Below are 24,673 nucleotides of genomic sequence, written 5' to 3'. Positions count from 1 at the left end.
GAATAAGCTTGGAAACAGTTTTCGAATCCCAGAACATTGTGACAATATACATGATGTTGCACAATGGGAAGTATATGGCATATCTTGGCCACCTGTCCCATGTGAAGATCAAGGCCCATCATTTCTGCTTATGGCAGCTGTTATTTGCCATCCTCCCTTCCTCCTGCTGATGATTGTATATACAGCCGCCCTGGGTCTCCTAACCTTACGCTGCTTCTGTTTGTGGTGCTTGCCCTTGCTATTTTCACTTTAAGTGAGCTGCTCTGTCCTTTCTCAAACTCATTGAAATATTGTTCCTAATAAAGATCAAAAATCCAATGCTTGACTTCTTGAAAAAAACCTTCCTCTTTTCCTGGGCAAGCACACAACAGAATGTGCGGGAGGAGGGGGGTGGGGGATGGGGATAAAGAAACAGGAAAGAATCACGTACTTATCTCTTAAAGTTTGCAGAGTACTTTTTGAAAATGAGAATTCTTTGTATTTTTAAAACCCTCTCCACCCATTAGCCTCAACACTACATTGCTGCTATACTTACACCTCGCTCGTTATGTATTTACTTTTTATATAACTAAGCAGCACCCTGTCATAAATGAAATATTCATGCAAAAAAAAAAAAACCTGCTCAAAATGAATTTATAAAAAGAACATATAAAAACTACCATCTGCTCCCACTCCTAGCAAGCCCTTAGATACCCAAGTGTAAGCCCTCTGATTCCACAGAGAGGTAAAGCAACGTGTTCATGATGTATTCCTGAAAGCGCAAACTTTAGAGTTTGTATTAAGATGGATCTATCAGCTCTGGCTATCAAAATGCTTAGATCAACATTGATGGGCTTAGATATTGCACATAATGAATTCACGTGCTAGCATATTGTAATGGGTAGTCATACCCAGTCATATTGTGCTGAATTGAGCTGAAGCTCTTCTGGGAAGTTGTGAAAGCGTTTTGTAGTCAATTGATACTACACTACTTTATAATAAGCCTTCCTTTAAAGAAAGTTGTCCAGACATTCCAAGACTCCAAGCTGAAGTACAGGCATTTGGATACTTTATTGTTTTAATCCAGCTAGGAAAGCTAAGGCTACTTCTGACATACTCAGTGCATTTTACTGCTCACACTTGCAGTATCACAACTGCAACACACCAACGCTAATAAGATACATCTGATTTTCTCAGTAGTTAAATTTCTACTAAATGGCAAGTTGCCTTTTTAAAAGTTCAATGAACACTTTAAAGAAGTTCTCCCCTTTCTGTACCCTTCCCTTCCTTTCCAGCACATTCCCACTTTCCTCAATGCTCCCTGCTAACCACTCTGAAGTTTATATATGAAATTTCATGTTTTCTTCCTGAGTCAATTAGAATTGTTTGTTTGCAAGTGACCAAACAGCAGAGTAGCAGTGTTATAAACAAGAAAAGAGTTTTATTTCCTCTCACAGGGAAGATATCCAGAAGTAGGCAGTCTAGAACTAATTTCATGGCTCCAGGATCATTAGAAAACCAGCATACTTTTTTTCTTGCAACACACATGTTGACTTGGTGTGTTGACTTATGGTTGAAGATGGCTTCTTCAGTTCTAGGCATTCCACTGCATTCCAAATAGCAAGAAGAAGAAAGTTCTGCTCCCTCCTTTCTTAAAAAGACTTCCAGCAAGTAACACACATTCCTGAATACATTACTTTGACCAGAACTTAGTCACATTGCACGTCTTGCTGCAAATCTTGCTACTCTGGGAAATGTAGTCGTTAGCTTGACTCATTGCCACCCCAAAATAAATTCAGAGTTCTTATACGAAGAAGAAAGAGGAGATTAGATGTTGGGATAGATAATTTCCAGCTTCTGTTTCATTTCACTAGGTCATATCATAGCTTATTGTTACATGACATTTGTTCAGGTTTATATTTCTACTTGTTTTAGGTAAATAATCCAGGTATTCATCATTCAATAATCAAATTATAGATAAAGTGATGATTAAAATGGGTAGAGAAGAGTTCTGTAGAGTATTGTAATTAGTACCTTAGCTCCTGTTACACTCTGTTTATGTATACAGGAAGCTGTGAGACTGCCTTCAAATAACCAGCCACACTTATCTACCTAAACAAATATAAAATCAAGGCTCTAGATCTATAGCCCAAGATTCTTGATGCTTTCCTCAGTAGTGATCTCTCACACTTTTGAGAGTGTGAAAGGAGAACTTATTGATAATAACACTGGAATATCAGAGGTAAATCAGGATTGTCCAGGGAAAATTGGGGCATGTGACCACCCAACTCATCCTGCATACTGAATCCTGTCACATACCAAACCTTATAGAGACATCAGTTTACTTTTGTTAATTTACCAATCACTTCTCATTGAAAATGTTTTACGATATGAAGAAAACATAACAGAATTGGATTATTATCATACACAACTCTCTAAGTCTATTTAGGCTGTTATAACAAAATACCTTCACATGAGTAATTTATAAACAAAAGTTTATTGCTTACAGTTCTGGAGGCTGGAATGTCCAAGATCAAATCATAGTCAGATTCAGTGTCTGGTGAGTGCCTATTTCTCATATATGGCACCTTCTATGCATATTTATATGGCAAAAGAGCAAAGGGGCAAACAAACTTTCTCAGGCCTGTTTTATAAGGGCACTAGTCCCATTCACAAGGGTTCTCTGCCTTCATGACCTAATCACCTCCCAAAGGCCCCACCTCTTAATACCAACACATTCAGGGTTAGATTTCAACAAATGAATCTTAGAAGAACACAGACATTCAGACCATAGCAACATCTTATCTCTGAATTTGGTATAGAAGGGCAGAGACTTCAATTAAAAGGACCAGATGAACTGAAAAGTAGCATTAAGAAACTATTTCCATGTATGTTCTCACTCATAGGTGGGAATTGAACAAGGAGAACACTTGGACATAGGAAGGGGAACATCACACACCGGGGCCTGTTGTGGGGTTGGGGGAAGGGGGAGGGATAGCATTAGGAGATATACCTAATGCAAATGATGAGTTAATGGGTGCAGCACACCTACATGGCACATGTATACATATGTAACAAACCTGCATGTTGTGCATATGTACCCTAGAACTTAAAGTATAATAAAAAATATATATATATAAAAGAAACTATTTCCAGTTGTTCATGCTACTGTGAAGTCAAAATTGTCCCAAGAAATGGGTATGAATAGTGGAAATCTACTCTTAGTGCTCAGAATCTAGTTATAAAGGGTTCTGCTTAGTGTCTCTGAGTTTGTAGTATTTGTATCCACTATTCTGAGTAGTTTATCACTTTAATCTGTAACCTGTGACAGTTGACAGCTGTCATTTGGGAGGATTTGCTCTGGCTAAAGACCAACCATACAGAACAAGGCTGGGTGTGAGGGCCCAGGCTGACAAACTATTTTAGCTTTCTTCACAGGGCACTAACATATGATTATGATTGAGAATCTCCTCTGTCTATGACAGAACCTAATAACAGATCCCACTTTTTTTCTCATTCCCATATAATTTTGTGTAATTTTTCCTGAAACATATTTCTGTCTGAAAAAGCATTACTATTAGATAGTACCTATTGATATAGAAGCTTCCAAAGATGCAGAATGCTCAACTAAGGAGAAAAAAAATCACTAGAAGAATTTGGATTTGTAAAAATTACTTAAAATATCCTAAATGTCCACAATCTACACTCTACTTTCTTTGTTGGTTGTTGAAGTTTTCTTTCCCTAAGTGAGTTTACAAGAAGCCTCATACCATGCAAGTTCAAAACGTGAATTTTTGAGTCTAATTCCTGAGTTAAAATCTTCATTCTGCCACTTTCTAACTGTGTAACTTCAAACATGTCAACTACCTGTAAATGAGGATAATCTTACTATCTTATGGTTGCTTGAATATTTATTAGGCTAATATATTTAATTATTAGAACCTTTTAAGTGTTTGAAATTTACAACCTAAAAGTGGACACAGGATGTATAACTTGTGTCTATACAGGTCCAATCAAACTCAAGTAGTTAAAAACTGAACTCATCTTCTATAAAAATGTGTGCCTTTTCATGGCATCCCAATCTTTATTGAGAATATCACTTTCTTTTATGTACCCAGACCCTACATCTTAGTCTTAATTTTTATTTCCACATTCTCTTCTCTCTCACATCTGAAAGTATTCAAGTCTTGTTCCAAAATCCATCTTCTCTCTCTTCATACTGTAATTGTCTTAACTTAGATTCTCTTTAGTCCTTGCCCAAATAATTCCAATAACCCTTTGTGTGTCCAGGCTACTCCCATCAAAACCCCTTTCATACAGTTTATAGAACATCCCTGTTAGAATCCTACCATGGATACTCCTTGCCCAAAATAATATCTAAACTACTCATGATGACATTCAATAATTTCATGATAAGGTTTCAATCTATCTTTTTTTCTCATCTCTCTCCATCCTCATGCCCTAGGTCAACCAGATAATTAGCTGTGCATTTTGGCACCTTAATATTTTTTTGGCCCACATTCTGCCATCTAAATGGAATGTTCTTATGCTCTTTTTTTTCTGAATATGTGTTCCTATGCTCCTTCTTTTCTGAATATGAAAGCATTCATAGCCCATCCTCTGTCTGTCAAGCCATGTAAGGTTGGTTGTATCACCACACAGGGGAAGATTTTTTCTAATCAATCTACCCTGAATCTGCCAAGGAGGATTGCCTCATTCTTTCACTCCCTTCAACAGGAAAGCCCTGCCTCCTCTAGGAGAAGCACCTTTTTCTAACTCTTACAAAAAATGAAGTTTCAGTTAGCAGTGACCCTGGACACTCACAATAGGTTTTTAAATTTAATTAAATAAATCAACATTGTCACAGACTTGTGACAGAAACATGTTAATGAGTCTGTAGTAGAGAACTCAAACCTGGCTCCTCTTCTATTGACAGCCTCCTTCACCAAGTACATCACATGGGGTAGTGATGATTGACGATAATGTGACATGATCATACAAACAACAGCATCTTATGGTTGTAAAGCACCCAAATTCATTTGGACAGGACAGGCTACAGTAGCAAATAGATTCAAGACTATATAACTGCTCAAACATAAATGAAGTTTATCTTTCGCTTACATAATATTTCAAAGAGAATACTCTTGGTGACAGGCAGCTCTCCTCCACACAGTAATTCAAGCGCCTAGCATTCTTTAATCTTATTGCTTCACCACTCATTGACATCTGATAATTACCTACATCTAGATGCAAAAATTAGGGGAAAAGAATGGAAGGAGCATATTTCTTTTCTAAAATCCTTGGCTCAGAAATAACACACAGCAGTTCTACTCCTAATTTACTAGTGAATATTTTTCAGATGGTTCTACATCATAGAAACAGAGGCAAGAAATGTAGTCCAGCTACATGAAGAAGAAACAGTACGGATTTTTGTGAACATGTATGATCATAGTGCCATATAGTTTAGAAGCTATCTTTATAGATGTTATCTCTACTAGGTAAACAGAAATATTCCTCCTTTTCAATTTTTAACAGATGGTGAAGCAGAGATTCAGAGATTGTAAATGGTACACTGAAAATAGCAGAGCTAGGTGGTGAAGGAGAAGAGTCACAAGTCCAAAGCTTCTAACTTCAACTTTCAACTTTTAACTGTTCTCACTGAAGCATCTCAAAAAGAAGATAATTTAATGGAGAACTCTCAAAGTCCTTTTTAATGATTTGACTTGAAAGCTACATAAATCCTCCCAGTACCAAATTTCTGACAACTAAATAGCATCTTAATATTTGGCTAGAAATGGCTATTTTTCTTGTTTTGCAGTGAGGAGAGAGACGATCTCAGAGCTGACAAGGGCCACATCATTTACAGTGGTTTTCAAACTTCTTTGGGAAGTAGAAACTTCTTGACATAAAGTCTTATGTTAACCCCTAAGATAGGAGACAAATAACAGAAGAACCACTCTAACCAACGCAGGGTTGGAAACCCAGAACCTCTCTTTTTGAGCTTCCCTATCTCATTTCCTGCAACCAAGAAGACCCCAAACAACTTTCACAGGTCCTTTAAGAACTCATCTGAAAACGACTATATTAGAAAAATGCCCATTTACCAGTTATAACTGGAAAACAAACCAGTAGGTCTATGTATTAATCAATTCTGCAAGTACTTGTTGACAGTAATACCAGGCACTATGTCAGCTGCTAATGACACAAATAGGAAAAAAGCAGGGACTATGATCTTTCAACCCATTATGATGTAGAAGGGAGTATAGGTATGCATGCAATGCAATGAGAGAAAATGATATTACAGAGAAATGTGCAATGTGCTCAGAACACATAGAGCAAGGGACCATTTAAGCTCATCTAGGAGGTAAGAGCTTTCTAGAAAAGTTTTATGAAAATGTAACTTTTGAGCAAAAAATTGAAGGATGAGTTTGCAACATGGATAAGGGAGAAAATGGATGAGGGAGAAGGTGGACAAAGCATATAGCACCCATAGCAGGCGTAGAGAACTGCAAATAGTTCAGTCTGGCTAGTGTACTAGAAGCATGGAGAAGTATGGCAGAAGATGAAGCCAGCAAGATAGGTAGGGCCCAAAATGTAAATGTACTGAAAATCCTGTTCAAAACTGGACTTTGACATTCAAGCGATAGAAAGCCACTGGAGTTTGGTCCTGGATTTGTTGTTGTTGTCATTATTGTTTGTTTTTAATCAAGGTGATTCATGCTATCTGATAAGAATGTTAGAAAAACAGTAGTATCAATAATGTGTAAACTGATTTGGATTGCTGTGAACAGAGAAGCAGGATCACCAACTAAAAGGCAAAAATGGCATTCCAGAAAAGATGATAAGGCAATGGTGGTGATGACAGAGAGGAGGGAAGAGGATAAAGAACAACTTAGAAAGCAAAGTAGAGGAGGGTTGGTGATTAACTACATTCAGGAGATTAGAAAGAAGAAATTTAGCGTGCCCCAGCTTTCTGGCTGAACTGTGTCAGTGCCAGTAAAAATCAAAGTTTATTCATTTCTACTTTGCCACTGAATTTAGTTGTGCTACCTAATAAGATTGTTTATTCCGGTCACTAGTGAACAAATTGAGAGAAAATAAGTACACTTCCTACTACTAATCTCCCAAAGGTCATGTGGATAAGACCCTTCAAGGTGGAATATAAGACTCCATCATATTGTCAAAATAGTTTCCGGGATCCCTAGTGGCGAAGTAGGCAAATAGCTGGCAAGAACCAACTATAACCATTCAATGATGGTTGCCTGACCTAAACAATAGAAAAAAAAAAAAAAAAAAAAAAAAAACCTACTGGAGCCTCAAAATAGAATTAGTTTTGCCTGTTCTGAAGTTTCTATTTATTACTCACTGTCTTACTTTATTTCAAAAAGAATTGGAGTCTGAATATTTGCAGTCCTCAATAAAAATCAGCATATATTGGAGGATTACTTGCTCTGTATGACTGCTGAGCACTATAAAGTTAGAAGCAATCAGGGAAACTTGTGGTTTCTGCTTTATTTCCCCAGCAATGTGAAAAAGGCAGACTGGCCTCTTGAATCCATCTCCCAGGGATTAAAGGAAACTGGAAATGGTTGTGACTCTTTACTGACTTGCCATATGAGGCAGGCTTAAGATGGCATTCTGAATGAATTGGCACAGCCCTACAGCATTGGAATGGTATTTCTTGACAGGGTTGGATGGCATATGTAGTTTTGTGTATTGTTCTGGTGCTTCTTAAATCAAGTTGCCCAATTTAAGCCAAACAAATGTTTTATTCTCTATTCTTTATTCAAATCACATCAATCCTTTGCATGGTCAAGTCATATCCCCTGACTGCACTCTGAAAATTTCCCATGGTGCTTAGAAAAGGCTATTATAATAGACAGTAATTAAACAATGTACTTAGTATGCTTTAAGTGATTCAATTTTCAAATTTATTTTAACTATGTTATTCCTATAAAACTGTTTGAATTGATTAGTGAGTAAATAAATAAAAGTTTGTAAATCTGTACAAAATAAAGGAGAATAATTGAAAACAAAAATGGTTTCCAGGTCTTAATCAGTTTTTAGATTGCTCTATATCTTGAAGACAATTTACCTGCACTAAGCTGTGTCCAATATTTAGTCAAAGAATGTCTAATTCACCACTGTAACTCATGTAAGAGAAAAGGGACCAACTTGAAAGGAACGTAGGGTGTGGTTGGGAATTTCCTCAGACGTGATGAGCAGGTAAGTACTAAAACTACTGCTGGTTTCTACTTTATTGGAGTCAGATTTAATAAATTTGAGGATGGTTATGTAAGTGTTTATCTTATGATATTTAACCTTCTGTTTTAATTAATAATGGTGCGCCAACATTATCACTAACTAGATAATTTTTAAGCTTTTTCCACCAATCACTCAAATGCAGGCTTTATGACTCCTCTGTTTCTGGGTCTCAGCCCCCAAAGCCTATCATGCAAAATGTTGGCAAAACTCTGTTCATGAGGGATAATTCCCAGTGAGTCACACCATGAGGAAAATAGTTGAACTGTAATAGAAACATAGAGTGATTTATGTGTCACTGATACCTCATGAATCATACCAGTTGTAGGCATCTAAGAGTACCTGAGGTCATGTGGAAAGGCAATAAACATAAGAAGTGAAGAATACATGGGCCTATATCAAATTCTAACTGACAATCTCAATGTCTGTAAAGTTCCAAAATGGGGAAGAGTAAAGATCAGATTAAAGAATTAACACTTAGTGAAATGGCTAAACTTTGTGTGAAACAGAGCAACCCTAGGGAATACCCTATCTGGATTTTCACAGCCTGTTTACCTTCCCATGACATTTTGAGAGGCTCCTACCACAAGGCTTACACCCCAGACTACAAGGTCTTTGCCTTCTTTATATTTCTTGGTGGGGACCTACCCAGACTGTACTGCCCCACTACTTCATGTTCAGAATCTCTCCTATGGCAATTGCTCTGCAGACCTTTAGCTTGTAGGAGGTTGTGATATGCCTATGGGCTATTTACATAGACATAAACTCAATCTTCTCTTATCTTAATGCTTGCTATTGCTTTTTAGCCTCCAGCAGTTTGCCTCAGGTAATTCTTGATAGCACTTTTCTTTTTCAGATCTCTCTTAGAGCACTGACCCAGGGATTCTTGAGATAACAGTAGCCCCTTTCCATCCTGTTTTAATATGAGCACTCTTTCTAACCTTTGAGGTCATCAAAAGAAGGAGATGTGAAAAGGAAGTGTGGCTTATTTATTTTTCTTTGCAGGCCTCAGACCCAGCTCTTTGAAAATATGGAAATTCTTTACAGCCACTGCGTCAGCCAGTTTTGCCTCAGATAAACTTTGCATCTGAGAAATAAGTCTTTTACTCATTTTTAAAAAGTTTAGTTTTCTTTTTTGTGGTCAGTGTTGTTTAGCGTCATTTTCTTCTCCTTATTTCTCTCTTTGCTTTTATTTCTTCTCTTACAGCACTAGTGTCAGCCCCTGCCAAGTTTCTTTATCATCTGTCTCTATAGCCAGCTTAACTTTTCTGAGCCAATGATACCAAATCAGAATACATATGGGTACTGTCAATCTCACATGGTGCAACTTGGAATTAATTTCTGATGCCTACCAGATATTTAACCCATGAGCAGAGTAAAACTTGGGTGGCCCTGAAGTCTCTAAAGAGCTCCCTCCCTAATTCTCCATTCCCTTTCCTGCTATTTAACTCGAACAGAAAGCCTCAGCATCTGCCTTGAAGCAGAGCGTATCCTTCTGACTTTTCTGAGGCACCTAATTTTATTCTAGGGCTTGGGTCCATGCTTGCATTCCAACCACACTTTTTTATGGTCCTGCCCAGCTTTTGCTAATGCCCTGCTTCCAACCACTTAGTTATTATCTGTTCTCATCCTGCCCTACATGGGGAGGTATCTTCAAATCCAAATGCAGCTGTGCCAGAAAATGCTCTAGAAAACTCCGTGCACACTCCTGAACTTCATCACCATCGCTGCGGGCTCTCACATTTGCTGGGATCCAATGTGAGCTTAAACAATTTCCTCTGTGCACTTTGCCTTCACCTTAGCCAGACACTTGAGCAACCTGGCCGTAGTGAATAAGACTGTGATTCAAGCTCACCACCCCACTATCTTTAGATGATGTTGTTTTAATATGTCCAGCCAAAGCCCAGGTCAAATCACAGTATCTAATCTGGATCCTGTGTATTCTGTCTGCCAAATTTACTTTTCTCTAGATAGTACCTGGCAACCAGCTTATTTCTTCTTTACTCTAAATCGCCCTTTTAAATACACCTCCCTAGATCCCCTTACCACACAACACAATCCAGCTTAACAGAGAACTTAGTTTTTAAAATCTCTGTTTCATTTTTGTTCAATAACTAGTTAGCTAACTCTTAACAAAACACACCTGTATCCACTATGATTTTGGAAGAAGTCTCCCCACCATTTGTTTTGTGGCCTCAAAACTTAAACCTGACCTAAGTATAGTTATGTTTATTGACTACTCACTACTTGCTAGTCACTGTGCTAATAATGCAATACTGGCTTAAATCTCACAATATCCATATTAGGGAAACACAATTCTAACCGTGCTTTCACTGTAAGAGGATTAACTTAGAGAGATTAAGTAATTTTCCTGTGGTCAGCCAAAAGTAAGTGATAAAGTGGAGATTTGAACAGAGTCCTTGCTTTAACCCCAGTTACAATCAGTATTGTATGCCCTGAAAGGAGTGTTCCTTAAGTCCCATTTAAGTATCAGTTTCCTTGGAGATAGTACTTCACTCATTTACCAAAGATTTCTAAGCACCTAGTGCCAATGGCTGTCCTAAGCCCTGGAGACATATCCATTAAAGAGACAGGAGCCATTCAGAACACTCAGTTATAGAGTCAGTTGTTCTGGTATAAGAAGAATCTTCCCCCAAAGTAAGTGTCTAATGCCCTGAGGGAGGTAAGGCTCCTCTACCTCAGGCCTCACAGCACAGCTGGGCACAGCCCATGGAGAATCTATCATGTCAGAACCAGATAGAACAGTTGTGGTCATCTGATTTAATCATCTCGGTTTAGAAATGAAAAAATAAAAATAATCATAACATGCTGAGAATTTAACTTTTTCAAGATTACATAGATTTGTAGTGAAAGACTCACTTCTTAAATACAGTTGCCCCAAATCCCCACCCAGTACTTTCACCAATACATCACACTGTCACCTTGAGAAAGATACAGCACATGTTGAAACCAAAATTTTCCATGGCCATAGGAAAAATTCTCATGACCTTGGATCACTTTATCAGAACAAAACTCCTTCATTTAAGCCATTATCCATGAAGCATTTCTTCTAGAGTTTTTCAAGGTGGTTTCTAACATTTAGGCAATGGGAACTATGTGGGACTTGGACATTTTTCTACTTACTCTAGTGGTGTATGACCTAATACAGTCTCCTGTTAGAAGTGGGAGAAAACTAGAAAACTTACTCCCATTTTTCTTATTGAACCCACTTATTAATAAACATCACCAAAGGTTTCTGTCTTTTCCAGACTCTCTCATTCACACTCATCTAGGCAACATTCTTGGGTTTTCTTTGCCACTGAGAATATTAGGTTAGCATGACTGAGTTCTGTTCACTAGTTGCATTCTCCTCTTATCAGTTTACCACTTTTGCAGTCTATCCTGGCGCTTAAGGATATAATCATCTCCTCACCTCCCCCACCCCACCCCTTGCAGTGTGATGTTAGTTGCTTTGTCTTTTCTTTCCAACACACTAGCTTTGTGCTATATTTAACTCCTGTACATTAGCATTAATATCCAGCCGCACAAGGGAAGTTGCTGCTGTGCATTACTTCCACCAGGTACAGTAGGGGTTTGTTCCGCTAATGCCTTTTGGGGATAGGGAAACAGATGCACATACAATAAGAGGGCTGAAACTTCTCTCCACAGTAAATCCAAGACAAATCTTTATAAGAGATTTATGTACATGATTTTGTTATTTTCTCTTTTGCCTACTTTTGCTTTCCGTTTTGGTGGCACACAAAGCAACTTACAAGGGTGGCTGACAAAGTAAAAGCATATTTCCCTCCAAAGAAACTGCTTTAAACCTGACAAGAAACACAGATGGTCGGCCAGGCATGGTGGCTCACGCCTGTAATCCCAGCACTTTGGGAGGCCAAGGCAGGTGGATCATGAGGTCAGGAGTTCAAGACCAGCCTGGCCAAGATGGTGAAACCCCGTCTCTAATAAAAATACAAAAAATTAGCTGGGCATGGTGGCACGTGCCTGTAATCCCAGCTACTCCAGAGGCTGAGGCAGATAATTGCTTAAACCTGGAGGGGCGGAGGTTGCAGTGAGCCGAGATCACGCCACCACACTCCAGCCTGGGTGACAGAGCAAGACTCTGTCTCAAAAAAAAAAAAAAAAAAAAAAAAGAAAGAAACACAGATGATTACCGATGAACATTATTCTTCTAGGATTCTAAACTGCCTAGAACAAGATTTAGTACATAGTGGATCCTCAAACAGTTGTTTAATGAGTAAAACCAGATGTGATTTCCCCTATTCTGGCTAGTCTTCCTTTGGCTAGATAGGCATTTCACCAATGTCTAGAAGGGAAAGACTGGACCAGAAAAAGGGTGTAGTCATCGCAGGCTTCTCATTTGCTTGTCTAGGTTATTTTTTTTCTTCCTTTTAAACTTTTGGTCTGTGAAATCTTCTCCTCTTTCTCTTTTGCATTCTCTTCCCTTCTTCTCATCTTTCTTCTTATTAATACCAGTTTCTCATTTGCTTTTGTTGTTTACTTAAGCACTCAGACCTGAGTACATTTTTTTTTAGTTGTAATAGATCACTGCCCCATTAGAACAACAACAACAAAAAAAATAGATGTATTCAAGGTTTTATCCAAGTAAGAAACAACATTTTTTGCATTGGCTTAACTTTGTTTTGTAAGAAAAAATAATCATAAAAGCAATATTCATTTGATTCTTAGGTAGTAACATTTATTTAATGAGTATGCTAAATATATGACAGGTTCCAATTTTATTCAATTAAGAAAATGGAGGTGGCTCATGGCAGAAAAGAAAGAGGGAGGAAGAAGAGTAAAACGTATTGGGAGAGTAAAAACACTCATAACTAACAGAAAAAGGTGAAAGAGTGAGAGAAGTAGAAAGTGGTCATGGGACTGAAAAATTCTTGGAAAGCTAATGGCTCAAAAGGAGGGGCATTCTGCATGCACATACTCTCAAATATCTTCCTATAGGGCTTTTGAGAGGAGAGAGGGGCAAACGTGGAGGGTGGTACTCTTCTCTGAGTCACACCCACCAGGAGTGCAAGGACTGTTCTCTTCTTAAAGCCCCGGACCCCATCTGTGAATCCTACTTCCATTCTCTGAGTCGTTCAGTTGCTTCAGAGACGAAACCTATAGGAACCAGAAGAAGTCACAAGAAAGGCGTCCAAAGTCAGAGAATTCTATGCAGAAGCAGTTCTGTCTGGTGTGAATGAAAGCACATTCAATTTAGAGGCCTTTCAGTGTACATGTACAGTGACTCATAGCCCATGCCCATTCTGACTGTTCAGTGCCAATGCTTTGTCTGTTTATAAATATTTTTAGTATGACCAGCTACCTTGGGATAGCTTAACTGAAATAAAAAATAAATTCCTTATTTTAGACTATATATACCTCTAATTTTTAAAAAATATATCAGTTTACGTGAGCTGGAGTCACTCATTCATTTGCTCAACAGATGTGTTGAGAACTTACTAGCAGCCAGCAATGTGCCAAGCAATGGGAAATAAGCTTTGATGTAAAAACTGGTGGCCCAATTTAGGGGTACTTATTGACCATCTTGGAAAATTACATTTTGTTTTATTTTTAATAGGGAGCCAATGAAATTTTAAGCAAGGGAGTAGTATAGCCGGACTTCTGCCCAGAAACATCAATCCGATAGCCAGATGTAAAAACCAGTCGAATTGCTCTTTCAATAGTATAGGCAAAACACAATGATCATTTCACCATACTTGCAATAAAGAGACTTGTTTATACTATAACATGGCAACAACAGGACATGGGGACACTTTCAGTGTTGAGAGTTAAAGAAGTTAAGGGGGCAGGGTTCCTGCATGGGATGCACAAAATGGATGGGATTACTGCAGAAAGAGAGATCTTGTCAGGGGAGAGATGGGAATGATAGGAAAGAGGAGAGGTTAGAGGACTGAGGAGAGAACTTTGAGAAACAGGAACAGTTGAGAGGAAGGCTGAAGAAGGTATGCAACAGAAGAGGCTGAACAGGCATGGTCAGAGGGTTGGAGAGAGAATCTGGACAGTGCAGGGAAGTTTTGAGTAATTCTAAGTGGAGACTAGGAGTGTTGACTTTTTAAGAGACTGAAATAGGAGACAGCATGATATAGTAGGAAGTGGGCAGGATTGGAGTCTGACTAACGGGAAAGTAAAACAGCTGTCATTTACTTGCCTTAGATCTTGGGCAAGTTACTCAACAATTCTCAATTTTGTTTGGTTTTGTTTAATCTACTTAATGGAAATAGTGTCTTGTATATAGGATTGTTCTGAGTATTAAGATTATAGTGTACTGTCTATAACTATGCCTTAAGATCCCTTCACTGCTTCTTTTCCCCATGGTTTTACCCTCACCCAGGCCATTGACTTCTGAGTGCATTTCTAAAAACAAAAATCAGATGAGCCCATAACTGTTACTCATCTCTCATGGTTTGCCTTTACCTACACAATAGGAGACCCAGTGGTTCTTCATGGTCTGATCCCTACTCATTCTTCTAGCCCCACCTCTCATCACTTTGGCATCTCATTCCAGTTACATCATATTCATGGACATCATGCTTTGTCATACCTTCAAATCTTGGAACAAACTGCTTCCTCTTCCTAGATTGTCCTCACCTGACTCCCTGGCTGCATAACTCTTCATCAACCCTTCAAGACTTTAATTCAAGAACCTAGTTCTCCATGTACATATCCTTAGCCCCATACACACTCTGCACTAACCCCAACATCTAAACCCCAAAACCCTTATTCCTTGCTGCCATAATATTTTGTAAATGTCACCAGTCATACTGAAGCAATATTTTAACTGTTTATGTGTTTGAATTATCTCCCACCCAATTGACTAATATATATACAAAAGCAAAATGATTTCTCATTGAATCATCAATAACTTTACATGAATGCATGGATGCATGCTCTTAGTGAAAGGGCATGGGTTTTGCAGGTTAAGTATGCATTGCATTAAAAATTGTAAACCCATGTAAACAAAGAAGAAGTTACAGCAGTCTTTTCTTAAAGTCTTGTAGTTGCCTACTCCAAGGCTAGATTAGATTTGAGGTTCAGCAGATCATTATTGTACTGGTAAGATCTAGGTCTTAAAATAATATTACCCTAAAAGTTTATTCCAAGCCCTGATTACTGACTCAGTATGGAACTGATTTGTAGTTTGAGAAAGAGTCAGCATGGCATAGTAGTTAAGAACATGGAAGCTGGAGTGAAACTACTTTGGTTCAAACCCCTTTTTCTGATCATTACTAACCATGATTCTGGGCTAATTATTTAGCCTCTCCATCGTCTAGCCTCTTAATTTTTAAAATGGTGCTGAAAACCATAGATATACCTCCTAGAGATTTTATGAGAATTAACTGAGTTAATATACATAAGGGGATTATAAGTGTCTGGTACATAATAATGTTTTTACCTCTATGACTTGTGATTCCTTTTGAGGACATTAGTGGCTATAGTTATACATATCCACATAACACTATGCACATGTACACAGTTAACAAGATAAGTACCATATATCAACAGGAAACAGAATTTCATGAAAGCCCCAAGGGATATCTGGATCCTAGGCTGGCCCTGAAATCTACACGTGCTCCCTGTCGTTCTCTTTCTGCTCAGCTTCTTCTCCAGCAAGCAGTCCTTTCACAACAGAGCCCTTCTAAGAAGAATGAAGGCAGGATAGAGCACACTGGGATGAGACTTTGTTTTTAAACAAGGACAGAAAAATGGATTCTAGTAATGCCAATTGAAAAATATTCCTTAAATTATCTACTATGGTTGAGACACTGTTCTAGGTACAATAGGGCCAACCTGTTTTACTGGTTTTGAGCCCTAGAGGAATCTTGTACTATCACAAGAAATAACCTTTCTTTTCTACCATGTGCTTATTTTTTTTCTTCTTCCTTTTTTTTTTTTTCTAAAATAGCATTCTTATCAACGTGTGTAGGGTACTATGGTGATGGCTGCTATATAAATACAAGAAGAGAGAACAAGAGAAAAGGGGGAGGTAATTAACTCAATTGTATAAGACTTTCTTTAAGAAGCAGAATAAAGGTTCTCCATAATTTCATTCCTATTTCCAAAGAGACAGAAAAAGTTGTTACAAGAGATGTCCTTACAATCCCAACTCTCGTGCACATCACTGACTCCAAGACAGGAAGCCCACTCGCTTTTTCCACCTGAATGTGCAAGGCAATCCACTTTTCCTACTGCTTTTTCCCCTCTAAGTAAACAACCTCTTTATAAACGGAAAAATGGAGAGCAAGCCTTTCAAACAGTTGTCATAAATTAGAATAAATTGCATTAATTCAAAATGTAAAACTAGGAGAGCCAGGAGAACATGCAACATATTTTCCCCAAATAACACTGTGAACAAGCACAAGTGTATACTTTGGGCATATGTATATCTTTCCTCTGACTGACAGCCTGAAGGATCGTCTATGTGATTTTTGTGTTGCTGAGGTGAAAACAATCTTTATTTGGATTGAATAGCAGAGTAAACAGGAATGAAAAAGAGACACAAAAGTTTACAGTACAGATGGTTTTCCAATTCTTTTACAAAAATTGTCTGTCTTATCAATTAAAGGTGCATTTACCTTTTGTTCTAGTCAATTGTCATGGGTGCTTTTCAGGATTATACAACCAGAAAAATTATAGTAGATCAGTAATTATGTCCCAAGTTTAATAATGCCACACAGGTTAAATGTAGCAATGAAAGTTTATCTTGCTACCTTTTAACTGTAAAAATAAAATGATTCACCTTCTAGTGTGGCTATGTAAGTCATGAAAGAAACTGAAAACCTTAGTGATCACAAGCCAAGACAAAGAAATAAAATAAGAAAGAATTGTGTGTGTGTGTGTGTGCACATACCAATACATATGGGGGGAATGGGTAAAAGATTTTGATGATTCAAGAAAAATATTAAAAGGTATGCCAAAAGTGGTCTCCGGAGACACACAAGGATTTGATTAAACTATAATTATGCCTACCTGTAAGCGGCATACACCTGTGCACCTAAAAGCCTCCTTCCTATGATTGGAAGAAGGTTTTCCTTCCTACGTAGTCATCTGGCTCTGTCATTTGAATGAACCGCCTTAGGTAGCACAAGGAAGGGATAACATAACAATCTATCTCCTGTCAACAAGGCCCCTTCTCATTCAGGGAAACAAAAGACTACTCTAATAGAATTATCCACAACTTTACTACAGTTAATGTCAAATTCAAAATAAAACAGCATTGCCTAAAAATTTACTGAGTATTTTTTATTTAACATGATTTTGGCTATGAATCATGCTATATCTTTTAGTTTGTGTCAAATACTGCCTTTACCTCCAACATTTTCTGACCGCAGAATCCATGGCAGTTACAAGGTCTAATTTAGAAGCACATGAGGGACCCATGGACAAACATACAGGTCTAACTTCCAGGCTCGTCCTTGATACTACAGGCTCTTCTGCTTGCTTTGAAAAGACCGGTTATGGTTCTCAAGGGTGCTCTAATCTGGAACCATTCCCATGCAACAATCAATGGCATATCATCATTTCTTTCCTTTTCCAAAAGAACAGGATACACAGAAAATAATGCACACGTAGTAGAGAGTTGAAAGCCTAATGCACATAGGAAACGGACCCCTCCAAATCAGCGCATCAGGCCACCAGATATCAGTCTCGGGCAGGCGTTAGTCATCATTTTCTTAAACGAGCCATGCTCTTCTCCCAGGATTTATGCATCTTCTTCCCCCTCTACATAAAGAATTAGCTGAATAAAGTAAAAATAAGAGGACTCTGGGGCTGCAGATGGCTGACCAGCTGTTTCTGGGTGACACCCCATGAATCAGTGCCTCATCGAGCTTTAGTGCTTCCATGTTTTGGGGGCAAAATATTCTGCATTTTGGAAAACTAGTTCATGGAAAATAATACAGCAAACTAACATTTATAGAAAACCACAGTAATCTTGTAACAAATGTCCTAAATTATGTACTCAAAAGCAGATCCAATTTTATACCCAAGGTTCTCGTCTACAGAGCCTGTAGGACACTTTCTTGTTGTTGTTTATAACTGCAGCTCCTCCCAACCCCCAACTCAATTGCTTCTTTTTTTAAATGATATACCACTTTATATAATATACCACACAGAAGACAAAATTTCAGCCTGTAGAAGAGGTTCGGTCTGGGAGCAGCAGGAACATGGAATATTTAAAAGATTTTACTTCCATATCCCCTTTGGATATTTCTCTTATATATTTTCATTTAGTTTGGTGTTAAGATTAATGCTACATTTGAAAGCCTCCTAGTTTCTTTTTGAACAATACTTATTCCTCAGTGCTTAAGTGCAATGCTGGGGGTGTGGACAAAATAAAAGTAGAATGGAACTTTATATTCCAACCTCTCCCACTTTCCTTCAAAGTAGAAGTTTCTGGCAAGGCAAGAGTTTCACTGAAGCCTTTCCTGGTTGTCCTCTTCAATTTTAGATGATTGCTTGATATGAATATCTCTAACAGGGTATATTTTAATACACAGAGTAGCAGAGATGGCTTCAAATGCCTATTATCAGAAAAAAAAAAGGCATTTGTGTGATGGGGAAATAAGAAACCTCTGCAATCACTTTTATTCAATGAAAGCCATTCCTTTGGGTGGGAGAGTCAAATGCTAGTACCCACACATGCTGCCTGCATACCAGCACAAGCCGGAGGAATGCAGATTTCTGTATCTGAGAACAGCTGCTAAGTAAAATGGAACGTCCAACAGATGGCTGCATTGTCATTATTGGGGGAGGAAGAGAGGGGAGCTATTTTGGTTTTTCTGTTGAGTGTGTGTGTGTGTGTGTGTGTGTGTGTGTGTGTGCATGCACCCATGCACGTGTGTGTTTAATAGGATGTGTTCTCTCATACCTGTGTTCTCTACTACCTAGATCTCTCTGGTGCTATCAAAGACTCTTAATCACTTTGATTCTTAGAATTAGAACAGACATTGGGGATCGTTTAGTCATTTGACATTTAATGGAGAAGAAGAGAGAAGACCAAAGACACATAGCATATTGGAGCCAAGACCAGAACTCTTACATTTGGCCTGATTACATAGAAGTCCTACATTCTATTTACTTAAGGATCAGTACTGAGCGCAAATACCAAAGCTCAAGAAAAGGAAACACTACAGCAGTTGCAGTTTCATAGTCTGAAAAGTACGTGTGTGTGTGTGTGTGTGTGTGTGTGTGTGTGTGTGTTCAAGTCTTCTGATGGAGTTGCTTTGCAATTCACATGGAGGAAAGAAGTAAGCTATTTTGTAAGTTAACTTATATCTGGTCTTTATTATACATTTTATTAGATGTTTGGAACATTTTGACTTATGGTCTCCCAAATTAAATAACAAGCTATAGAATATGAAGATTCTCCTCCAGTTTCATACTTCAGAACACAAGGAGTTAAGTTTCAAGTCAAAGCTACTGAAAGCCATTCTTAAGAAGCAGACAGGAAAGTGTTGAGATCCCATCATGACCTGTCTATAAAGGTCTCCATCCCACTTCTGATGGTAGCTTTGGGTCAGTTGTACAGTCACATGGCTCACCCATTGGTTCATGTTTTTTTCCAGAAATAGAATCAATAGAGAACAGACAAACCCACAGTTGCCAGTTTGTACAGTCTTGTGGTTTCTGTCAGGGGCTACAGACTCGAGCAGGTCTACCAGATAATGAAGGCAAACTATTTCAGTTCCTGTGGGTCCAGAGTGCCTTGGCAGAGTTCTGGTTTCAAACAAATGAATAACAAATTAAAAGGTACAGTAAAATAAGGCGGTGGTTAAAATATATGAACTAAAATCAATGTAGGAGAAACGTAGTTAAAAACCCTGCATTCTCAGCAATAGCCTATGATGTATTTTGTTAATCTCTTAAAATTTATGTTAAAAGCCTTTTAACAGAAAGTCAATATATTTGGGTGGTAGAGCAAGTATATCATCCTGTACTGGTGGTTGCATTAAATACTATGCATAGGCTCCACTGTCTGTAGAAAATGAGCAGGGGTCCACCCAACGGAAGTTCCATCTCAAGGAGGTCAGACGCTTTTCCCAAAATGGACTGTGAAGCCAAGCTCAGCATTACACTCTCCTCTGCCTAGGTTCCCCACTGACGTCAACAAGAGTTCTGAAAATGAAGGGGGATCAGAATACCAGAAGCATAGCCTAATAATAGAGCAAAAACGGAGAGCAGATGGAAAATAAAGCTTCTCGAATAAAGTGTGACCTAATGTCATAAATTTGTTGGGGAAAAGAAAACAACAACAACAGCACAGCAAAAAGGTCTGTAAGCAGACTTACTGGTGTGAAAACTCTGGAATATGGCAGACTAGAAAAAACACCTAGCTACTTAGAAACCTTTCAGTAAAGGACTAAAAAGTAAACAAGAAAACATGCAAAATCAAATTTTGGATGAGTTCGAAACACCACTACTAATTGTGTGTAGGGGCAAAAAAGACACAAAAATAGAAGTAGAAAATTCTAGAAACAGGGTTTTAGCAGCTTCCTTTGCACATTATTTATGCATACACTTATTCCTTGTATCTTCAACTCACCTGGAACAATCTGCTGCCCCCACAGATGGGCAAGCTTGGAGTGACTCAGGCACAAACTTGATACATGGTGGTAAAAATGAGTTGAAAGAATGGGCCCAAAGTAAAAGATGTTAAAAAGGGTCCCAGCCACACACTAATCTCCTAGAAGGGCTCACCATTTACTCCTGCACCCTTATACCCTCGTGTGTGTGTGTGTGTGTGTGTGTGTGTGTGTGTGCGCGCGCGCGCATGCTGGCGTGCGCGCCAAAGTCTCAGTACAAACTTCCTGGGAATCTTTACTAACTGTATACATCTCAACAGAAGAGAGATTTTTAGATCTACTTAATAATTGGACTTAGAAACTTACTTTTGATATGGACAAAGAAGGTCTCAAGATGTTGAGTGAAATATAAAGAAAAATCTCAAATTCAATCCCTAAATATTTGTTTTTCTATCTGGCAATCATCAAGATGTTTTTCTATTTGATGAACACTCTGTTTTCTCAAAGAGTGGGCTGTTGGTTGGGAAAGCGGAGGAGGTGAAGTTTTAGAGTAGGGCTGCATTTTCTCTTTATTTTCATTGTTTAACCACTGATGGGATTAAGGCAGGGAAAGCTATCTTTTTTAAAATGATTTTCTTCTTTCGGTTTTTCACTCTAATGGTTCTTGGGCTTTACCTCTATCATCCCATACAAAGAAATATTGTTTCTTCAGGGTAGCCTTTCTAGGTTCTGCCTCCTCAACCTCTTTAATCTGTCTAGCCAGCATTTTTCTTTGAGTCTAATTCTTGCTCTGCCTGATCCTTTGAACTTGATATTTTAGAACCTCCCTCACACCCCGGGGAGCTCGCTCACCTCAAACTTTACCTTCATTTACCCTTTGCTCCTGACCCCGTTACTGAGAGTGAGTCTAGTTCATTCCTTGTCGAGTTTCCATGCCCGAGGCCTCCTGCCAGCACCCACCACCCCCAGGAGAAGTTATTGGGCGCTCATCTCTGCTAGGATGGTCCTCAGTCAGATAGAACACAGGGAACTATTCTAAAATAATGAACTCACAATATCGTGTAAATGCATAAAATTAGCAACATAAATATCACAGAATTTCAGGCTTTGAAGTCTCCTAGAGATCATTCACTTTACCGTGAAGAAAATTAGTACTCAAACCTGGTTGATAATCCATGATTCTTGTGGCAAGAGAGTAATACAATGTATATAAAAATGTTTTATAAACTCTATACACCATACTGTATGCATTTAAAAAATGACTATTCGTCTTCTGAGTAGTTTGTGTGAGTTACTCCTGAGATGCTGCCATTACTCAAAATGTTTTAAATCTCTTCTTTAAAATTGTCATTTGAGGCAGTTCAGATTGTCACTGTATAGTCACATCTCGTTTTTATCAATAAAGGTATTATCCAGGGCTCAGACATTCATCTCAGATTTTATCTTAAATGTCTTTGAAGGCAGAAACCATGTCTGTCTTACTCCTTGCTCCTGGTATACTGCCTGCCACTGATTATACACCTAATAATTATTTGTTCAATGAATTTTTTAATAGAAGATCAAACCAACCCTCAGAGAATGATCATTTGCTTTGATTGGTAGGAAAAGGCTCTAAAATCATTTTTCAAAGAGAATTTCCTAAATAAAATTATTTTCCAGTTGTAACATCATTGTTGGAATAAGTTCAAGGTTATTAATTAGAAGGGGACAACATTCATTGTATTTATATGTTAGTATACTGGCTGACCTGTTTGCACCATCAAATTTATTTGTATTTCACCTTACAAAGTTATGAGGCAGATTGAAACAACTTCGACAAAAAGAAACCCATAATAACAAAAACATTAATAAAAAGCACATTACTATAATCGCGTTAGATATGCACAGCAAAAAGCAGCCCACAGGGTGAGTTCCTTATGTGTGGTTAGCCAAGGAGTGACAGTAAGTAACAAGAAATAGAGAACAAATGAGACTCACCCAGTCTCAAGCATATATCTGCATGCCATCTGGCCCGTTCCTTGTTGAGTAAAAAAGTTACTTACAGCCAGTAAGAATGCAGTCATAAGGAAGCATTCTGGGGTGACTGGAGTGACGACATTCCCAGATTGATAATAAGTACACAGGAAGAGAGGCATTTGCAGGTGTCATGATAACCACATCATCACTGCTGTTGGCACTAACAGGTAAAGTCAGCTCTAAACATTCTGTGTGACATATAAAAGTGAGAACAGTCCTTCTCTAGTGGACTAATATTTTAATTTGTTTGAAGAAGAAAGATGAGCAGATGACCTAGGGGGAAGGCATAGTAATCACAAAACAGAATTGCCCACCTTTTCCACAAGTGAGTTACTCTCAGGCGAGTCTAAGAATAGTGTTTTTACAATAGTTTAAAAATGCACTAAGCGCACACAGATACACACAGAATCTAATTCACACCACAAAAGCATGAGCTTCCTCCCATATTTCAACTACTTCCAGTCTAAAGCATCTTGACCAGGAGAGGATAAGTTTATGTATTTGATGAATCCTGTTGGGCTCAGGGCTTGCATTATTAATTGCTCGGGGAACATGTTTACTTATTATTTTTACTGCTCCCTGAAACATCAGATTAAGAAATTTCAAGCAGGTCCAGCTAAAAGCATAGCAAAATGTGGCACCTCATAAAAATGAAACTTAAGAGTGTTAAAAAGAAGAAGTCGAGAATGCTGGATTTCTCACCAGGCCACCAGCTCACTCATTTGGGGCCACTCAAGTTTTGATGAGATCCACAGCATGGGTATCATCCATGATGTGTGGCATCCACAAGAACAAAAGTCACTTTTATCCCAGAAATAAGAGCTATTTAAATGTCATAGCTAAAAGAAGGAAGTGTTACTTGAATTCTGAAGTGGCTGAATATTTGAACTGAGTTTTTAGCTAAGAAGGTAATGTCAAAGACAAAGGTTCTGTTACCATCCACAGAGAATTTATGATCCAGCATTATTCCCTGAAATTCCATCCCAAGCCCTAACCCCAAGACCAGGTTTCAATACAATCTCCACGGTGCATTGGGAGTAACCTTCTGAACTGAAAACTTGATTGTATAACTATTCAGATTACAATTCTTTTCTTTTCTTTTTTTAAAATTATACTTTAAGATCTGGAATACATGTGCAGAATGTGCAGGCTTGTTACATAAGTATACACGTGCCAAGGTGGTTTGCTGCACCCATCAACCCGTCATCTACCTTAAGTATTTCTCCTAATGCTATCCCTCCCCTAGTCCTCCACCAGGTTACAAAGTCTGACTTTTAAACATAACACACAGTGATTTTTAGAAAACTGGCTCTTGTCTTTTCAACCTTATCTTCTACAGCTCCTCTATGTACATCCTGAGCTCTGGCCGTAACAAGTTGAAGTCTCCAGAATCTAGGGTTCTAGCATGTTCACTTATACAACTGTTACATAACTGTTCTCTCTGAGGAATATGCACTTCCTTCCACTTTTCTGGAAAACTACTATTCATTCAAGACACAGATTCATCTCTTTGAAGTGCTTTCTGCCATCATTCTCACTTTTACCCCAGGACCATGCAGACTCAGGTACTACTATATGCAATTCTATAAAGTATAGAGTGTTTTGAACAACATTAACTTTGCTGTTTTGACTTTGAGGGTATTTTCACCCCAATGGAATGATAACCCTGATATTTAATTCTAAAAGGACAAAGCACAAGAGTATACATTCAACTCACCTATAACTCCAGGGCTATTCTCCGGTCACTCCACAGGAAAACAAGCTGCTTGAATGAAGTGTGGCTTTAATCACTTTATTAGTTTGCTAAGGGAGCCATAACAAAATACAACAGCCTGGATGGCTTCAACAACAGA

The 24,673-nt window shown here is 38.3% G+C and overlaps 1 long non-coding RNA gene across 6 annotated transcripts in view, besides 3 other annotated features; it reads right to left on the bottom strand.

Annotated features, from left to right (window-relative positions):
* MEF2C-AS1 (MEF2C antisense RNA 1) overlaps positions 1 to 24,673 on the bottom strand; it is a 584,252-nt gene that overhangs the window by 176,099 nt on the left and 383,480 nt on the right. The window lies entirely within an intron of this gene.
* Positions 10,947 to 11,116: an enhancer, noted in NCBI's record as "active region_22770". NCBI's record gives its function as "activates an Ori minimal core promoter by ATAC-STARR-seq in GM12878 lymphoblastoid cells {active_cell/tissue: GM12878}" and the evidence as "EXISTENCE:reporter gene assay evidence [ECO:0000049][PMID:35858748]".
* Positions 19,524 to 19,573: an enhancer, noted in NCBI's record as "active region_22769". NCBI's record gives its function as "activates an Ori minimal core promoter by ATAC-STARR-seq in GM12878 lymphoblastoid cells {active_cell/tissue: GM12878}" and the evidence as "EXISTENCE:reporter gene assay evidence [ECO:0000049][PMID:35858748]".
* Positions 19,604 to 19,743: an enhancer, noted in NCBI's record as "active region_22768". NCBI's record gives its function as "activates an Ori minimal core promoter by ATAC-STARR-seq in GM12878 lymphoblastoid cells {active_cell/tissue: GM12878}" and the evidence as "EXISTENCE:reporter gene assay evidence [ECO:0000049][PMID:35858748]".

The sequence above is a fragment of the Homo sapiens genome, chromosome 5 (assembly GCF_000001405.40).
Source record: "Homo sapiens chromosome 5, GRCh38.p14 Primary Assembly".
NCBI classification, from domain to species: domain Eukaryota; kingdom Metazoa; phylum Chordata; class Mammalia; order Primates; family Hominidae; genus Homo; species Homo sapiens.
This window is presented reverse-complemented; position numbering and strand designations above follow the sequence as displayed.